Source organism: Homo sapiens, chromosome 3, assembly GCF_000001405.40.
Source record: "Homo sapiens chromosome 3, GRCh38.p14 Primary Assembly".
NCBI lineage: Eukaryota > Metazoa > Chordata > Mammalia > Primates > Hominidae > Homo > Homo sapiens.
The window spans coordinates 164332160-164338942 of NC_000003.12; the positions used below are offsets into that span (position 1 = coordinate 164332160).

At 45.0% G+C, this 6783-nt stretch overlaps 2 annotated features.

The window, feature by feature from the left end:
• Positions 1-902: an enhancer, noted in NCBI's record as "OCT4-NANOG-H3K27ac hESC enhancer chr3:164049948-164050849 (GRCh37/hg19 assembly coordinates)". NCBI's record gives its function as "activates a minimal SCP1, AML or CMV promoter by ChIP-STARR-seq in naive H9 embryonic stem cells {active_cell/tissue: H9 hESC(naive)}" and the evidence as "EXISTENCE:reporter gene assay evidence [ECO:0000049][PMID:30033119]".
• Positions 903-1803: an enhancer, noted in NCBI's record as "OCT4-NANOG-H3K27ac hESC enhancer chr3:164050850-164051750 (GRCh37/hg19 assembly coordinates)". NCBI's record gives its function as "activates a minimal SCP1, AML or CMV promoter by ChIP-STARR-seq in naive H9 embryonic stem cells {active_cell/tissue: H9 hESC(naive)}" and the evidence as "EXISTENCE:reporter gene assay evidence [ECO:0000049][PMID:30033119]".

Here is a 6783-nt window from a genome sequence, read left to right on the forward strand (position 1 = left end):
CAAAGATTATAGAAAAGAAATAAAATATGCTAACAACACTGTACCCCAAGCTGTCTCACCATGGTGAAAGAAATTAAACCTTGTATTTAAACTTTATGAGAGGGATTGCTGCTCTTGCCACATCTGTAGCAGTTAACAGGTGAATCTTAGAAATTCTGGGGTTTGTGGGCTTACATCCTGGCTATTAAAGCTTCTCCCTCCTTTTTGTGTCAGAAAAACTAAGGTGGCCACTTTCAGGAGTTTCTCTAAGGTACTATCTTGTCCCAGGGTCCATTTCTGAGTATAAACTGGACGTGGTGAAGTTTGTGGGTTGCTCATTCTGAAGGACAGGGAATTAGGTGCTCCTCAATTTCCTTCTTTCTTTCAGCAATAACCTGGGCTGTGAGGGAGAGAGGAAGTGGGAGTCCTGCCTTTCCTTTCTGTCTTCATGTCCTGCAGTCCTGGCGACCTTAGCAGGTGCCACCCATGGTTGCGAATGCAGCTTGCACCCATGAAGCAGGGAGGGCCTAGAGAAAAGGAATTATCCACACTCACCTATGCCTCTACCTCCCCTACTGTTGACAACCTTTGAGTTCCCTGGGCCTCATTTATGCTATGGAACATGCCCTCCCTCCCTGATGCAGGGGTTTAATTGTCAGGAATTGGCCTTGCCCATTTACACTGTGCTTGTTGCCTGGCTTTGGATCTCTCAGATCTGTTTTTCCTCTCCAGGCCCTCAAGCTAAATCTTGGAACTGAGTTTGAGACAGAAAAAAGGCATTTCAGGGGCTGCATGGATTCATTTAGATTAAGTCCCAGATGGGCTTTTCCAAATTAATGAGTAACAGCCAGCAGGGGTTGCTCCTCTGTTGCCTCCCTATCACAAGCAGATTGCTGAGGTATGAAGAGAATCCTCTTGCTTAGAAAAGAAAGCTTAAAGTGCTTAAGGTCGGGGTAGGGGACCTGGGAGAAGAAAAAGCCTCTTGCTCTGTGCAAATGGTTTTTTTTAATCACTGTATCCCTCCCACGGTTCAGACCGGCTAGACTTCCATGAAGGAGAACAGAACCAACATTCCTTTTACCCAAAAGAAAGAGAGAGGTGGCAGTTTATTGGAAGAGAGACAGATTCAACAGTTCCACATTTTAACTTACCCTTTCTCGTATCCCATATGGGCCCCCAGATGAGACAGGATTGTTCCCTTGACCCTAACCCCCTTCATGGGTGGGAAATGTAGTGACTCATTTCACTCAGCTCGCTCTGCTCTTGGCCACTTCTCACAAAAGGGAGTATGCAAGCGAGTGCAGGAACCAGAGGGAATGAATGCTGGAACCGGCTGGTCACTCCTCTCTGGGGGGAGAAACGTCCAAGCCCCTGCCCTCTCAGTACCTGGGTTCTTGTCTGGCATCCAAGAAAAATCAGGTCACATGAATGAATTGAAGGATAGTGTATGTGGAGGATTTTTATTGGGCAATAAAAGTAGCTCTTAGCAGGTTTCTAGTTGGAAAGGAGATTATGAGGGAAGGTGATCTTTCCCTGAAGCTGCACCGTCTGAAGTTAGCTGTGTCTACCTGTCTATCCATAGTCTCTGACACTCAGCAGCTTGTATCCCCAATGCTCAACAGCTTGTATCTCCGACTGCTTGCATCAGCCAGCCACTTGTGTTGCTCTGCCAGCTGAAGTCTTTTTATGGGCATATTAAACAATTCAGTTGACTGAGAATAAAAAAAAAAAATTTCTCAAAAACTAAAATCCCAGGAAAGAAAAATAAGGATAAATTTCTTTTAAATATATATAGTATGTATATACATATATTTACATATATATGTATATTTATTAAATAAATGGTTAAATATATGGGTTATATTGTTGTGCCACACTTTGAGATGAATTAAGAGTCCTTTATTAGCCGGTGACCGAGAGACAGCTAACGCTCAAAATTCTCTCAGCCCCGAGGAAGGGGCTTGATTAACTTTTATATCCTGGTTTAGGAAGGGGAGGGGGGGTTTAGTTAAAACAATTTTACCAAAGTTAAGTAGTCAAAAAGTTAAAAGGATAAATGGTTACAGGAAAGTAAACAGTTCCAGGTGCAGGGGCTTTAAGGCTATTACAAGGTGATAGACGTGGGGCTTTGGGTGTTATTAATCAGACGAATTCTTGGGGACTGTGGATATAGTTTGCCACAGTATCTTATCAGTTAATTGCATTCTTGGATATGCTGGGAGTCAGCTTGCACAAGTTAAGTCCTTGAGGAAGGGGCTGCCAGTGAAAGAGCCAAGATGGAGTTTGTCTGGTTCTCTTAGCCAAGGGAGAAACAAGGCCAGGTGAATAAGGAAAAAACAAGGTTGGGTATTACATTCCCCACTTGTGTTTTTGGGGAATCAAATCATTGATTCCTCAGTTATGACAAGGGGGTTACACTGAGTCCTAAGATACTTAAGTTTGACAGAAGCTATGCGCTGTTTTATAAAATTAAGAAACCAATTTAATATACAAGGACCGAAGATTAAACTTAATAGTATGATGAGGAGAGGTCCAGCTAACTCAGTGATTAAAGTAGTTAGCCAGGGGTTCCAGTTGAACATGCTTTGATAGCAGGGGATGTTATTTTCTCGTTCTTGTTGGCGCCTATCTAGATTTTCTCAAACTTTTTGGAGCGTATCTTTTATGACTCCAGATTGATTGGCATAGAAGCAACAGCTTTCTCCTAGAGCTGTACATAATCCTCCTTGAGAGAGGAATAGCAGGTCTAAGCCTCAGCGGTTTTGAAGTACTACTTCAGCCAGAGACTCTACCTGGGAATGTAGTATATCTATGGCAGAGTGGAGGTTACTTAAATCAGCATCCACCTGTTGAGACAAAGACATTAGTCCAGTTTCTTCTTGAACCAGGGCAGCCATACCAATGGCTGCTGACCCAGCTATGCTAAGACCAGCCAAGAGGGGAACCAGTAGTGGGGCAGCTCGGCGCAACCTGGGATGTAATTCCGGGGGAGCGATGAGGAGTTGTCCTTCTGGTCCACGGTACACGTATACTTGGGGAAGAACATGAACTAACATACACAAGAGACGTCCTGGTTCAGTTCTATTAATGCAGCGAGTGAGACCTGAGGTTCAGGCCAACCAGGTATTGATAGGCGCTTGGTAAGAGACTGAGGTACTTGTGGAAGTAAGTAGGGACTGATTACACATAGCCTGGAAAGGAGAAGCAGACAAGTTATACCTGGTACTAATCAGACAGGAAGCGTTTCCAGACACATCTCCTAGTGTGAGAGCACAGGGTCGTGTATGACAGGATAGAGGGCCACGTTTAAGAGTGGCTTCTACTCCTAACCCTACATAATAAGGGGGTTTTACTTTTAAACATAGCCAACAATCTTGGGCTAGTTTAGGCTGGATGAGGTTAAGGAAATGATGTACTCCACCTAGTATAGACATTAGGCTGGGTTGAAGATGATGTCCTTGTAGCCGGGGCTTAGAAACTAAGAATGGTAGAGGAACAGTTAAATCAACTTTGTCAGGGTGTTTCTGGAACATAGGGTCACCTAGATCAGTTAAAGGCCCGATTGGCTTAGGTGGGCTCCATGAGACCAAAATTTTCTTTTGGATGGTGAACATAGTTCCAACATCGAATCCTGAGATATAAAGTCTTAATCCCCATGACATGCCATAATACCATTGAGCTGAATTAGGGTCATGGGCAGTTATAGTTAAGAGGATTACAATTCTTTTCAGTACATGATTTAGGATGAGAAGCACGAGTTATGGAATTAATATCTGGCTGATCCCCCAGAGTAGGTGGCTAAAGTTACACATGTCCAATCAGAGCAGAAAAACTGATAAGTATCTTGACAGCTAGCATTAGGGTGATTTCCAGGACAGAGGTAACAGTCAACATTTTGGAGTCCTTTTTTTTGCACCTTTGGAGCTTCCACATTTAGTTTGGCTCCCAGAGCGTCCAAATCTTGCTGCAAGGTCGACACTTTTTGCTTCTGGGACCAGCAGATTGTGTTGCTCTTCATGGGTATGGGCTGGCTCTGGGAACAGTGCACAAAAATCAACTGCAAAGGAAACTTCCTTGAAGGTACCAGCCCTCCAAGTGGTGTTTGCAAATACATGTCCTGTTATGAAAGAGGTGAGGAGAAAGGAGTAGGAATGCGCAGAGGACATAACAGGCAAAAACAAACAAGTGAGGTAGATAAAAAGAATTAATCTAATGGCTTCACCTAACTTAGGTGCAGTTTTAAAGGGGCCTGACCTAGGCCTGGGGACCTATGTTTTTAGTTGGGCTCTGTTGGCCTTTTTGATGCGGGAGTGATGAATCAGGAGTGAGTCCTTCTTACTGGAACTTTTTAACAAACATTAGGTCTACTGGCTGGAATGAATGGCAAGGCCCTGTCTGTTTAGGAATTGGATTGGGATGGGCTCCTCAAACAAGTGGCAGAATGATATCTTGTACCTGTTGGAGAGACTGTAGATACTGCAATAAATTAGCTTGTGATATTTCTGCCAAATGGACATCTCTTAGCTTAGGCAAGATAGGCGGTGCCCGTCCATACATGATTTCAAAAGGCGAGAACCCAGCCCGATAAGGGGTGCATCTTACTCTAAGTAGGGCTAAAAGGAAGGAGACTTACCCAATTTTCACCAGTTTTTAAGATTAATTTTGTAAGAGTGTTTTAGGGTGCAGTTCATGCGTTCTACCTGCCCAAAGCTCTGGGGTCGATAGGCACAATGGAGCTTCCACTGAATGTTTAACACCTTACTGACCGACTGAGCTATGGACGAGGTGAAGGCAGGTCCATTATCAGACCCTATGGCAGCAGGCAGCCCGTGTCAAGGGATGATTTCATTGAATAAAAACTTAACCACCTTGCTGGCAGTTTCATTTTTGGTAGCAAATGCCTCAGCCCATCTGGAGAAGGTGTCTACTAGTTACTAGAAGGTATCTGTACCCAGCCCGGTGTGGTTTTACTTCTGTAAAGTCAATTTCCCACTTTTCTCCTGGTGAGTTTCCTCAGAGACGGTGACCTGGGCTGGGTTGAGGACCTTGCTTGGCATTTACCTGGGCTCAGGTTGTGTACCGGAAAACTGCTTGATCTGTTAGGCTTTGAAGATGGGAGATTCTTCTTTGTTTTTGATAGCCTTTTCTGCTGAGGTGAGTAGCCTGCGCTCCTGGTAGATGTGTCCATGTACATGCACAGTAGCAAAGGTGTACCTGCTGTCAGTGTAAACGTTAATACGTTTATCCTTACCCCATCGGAGACCCTGAGTGAGGGTGATCAATTCAGCTTTTTGCGCTAAGGTGTTTGCTGGTAAAGCCTGAGTCCACAACACATCTGTCTCCGTGGTAACAGCTGCACCCGCCTTTCGTACTCCCTGATCGAGAAAGCTGCCACCATCTGTGAACACAGTGGCATCCGCCTTCTCAAGGGGCACATCTTAAAGATCTGGCTGGCCAGTTTTGGTAGTTTCCAACAGTTCCTGACAGTCATGGACAGGAATATTGGAATCTGGATCTGGGAGTAGGGTAGCAGGATTTAAACACCTTGTGGGAGAGAAAGTCAAACGAGGCTGATTCAACAGTAAACTCTGATATTGTAAAATGCCAGCATTTGACATCCATTTACCTGAAGCACTTCAAAATAAAGTCTCTACAGCATGAGGAGCTGTAAGGGTTAAATCCTGGCCCAGAGTTAACTTATCAGTTTCTTGGACTAGAATTGCTGTAGCCGCTACAGCTCGAAGACAACTTGGCCATCCGGAGGCCACAGGATCCAGTCTCTTAGATAAATAGGCTACCGGGTATCTCCAGGGTTCTAAAGTCTGAGTCTCAAGCCTTTTAAGCAACTCCCTGGCTTTCATGGACAAACAGGTGAAACAGCTTTGAGATATTAGGGAGGGCTAAAGGAAGGGCTTCAGTTAATGCCTTTTTCAGGTTTTGAAAAGTCTGTTCTTCTGTGTCTGTCCAAATTAACAGGCCATTTCATTCTGTACCTCTTGGATAGCTGCCATTAGATTTTTGCTTGTCTTTTATATGCTTTATCGGTGGCTTTTTCAGCTGCCTGTGTTGCTTGTTTCTGTTTTTTATACTCTTGATTGTCAAAAACCTTTTGGGCTATTTCTAGAAGCTGACTGATATTTATCCCAGCAAATCCCTCCAGTTTTTGGAGTTTTCTCCTCACATCTGGGGCTGCCTGAGCCACAAATGCCAAATTAAGAGCACGGCTATTTTCAGGGGACGCTGGGTCAAAAGGGGTGTAAATCCGGTAAGCCTCCTGGAGGCACTCTAAAAACGCTCCTAGTGACTCTTCGGGAACCTGGACGACTTCAGTCGCCTTAGACAAGTTTATGGGTTTCCGAGAGGCTCCCTTAATACCCATGAGGAGATACCGGTGAAAATTGTCCAAAGCTGTCCTTCCACTTGAGGAATTTGGGTCCCAGTTAGGCCGGGTAGAGGGAAAGGCCTCCTCAAGGAGGTCTCTACCTTCCTCCTCAGGCCTACCGGCTGATGCAAGGAAGTGCTTTCTGGCCTCTTTTCGGATACGCTCCCTCTCCTCAGAGGTAAAGAGAGTTAAAAGGAGCTGTTGGCAGTCTTGCCAGGTGGGCCGATGGGTCCGGAGTACGGACTCCATCAGTGAGGTCAAAGCCTGGGGCTTTTCAGAGAAGGGAGGATTATGGGTTTTCCAATTATACAAGTTAGAAGTAGAAAAAGGGAAATAAACCAAGAAGGGGGCTGAGTGCTCATCACCCGGAGGGACTTGTGCCTCTCTCAGTGGTAGTAGAGGGGCTGCTTCCTCCCGCAACG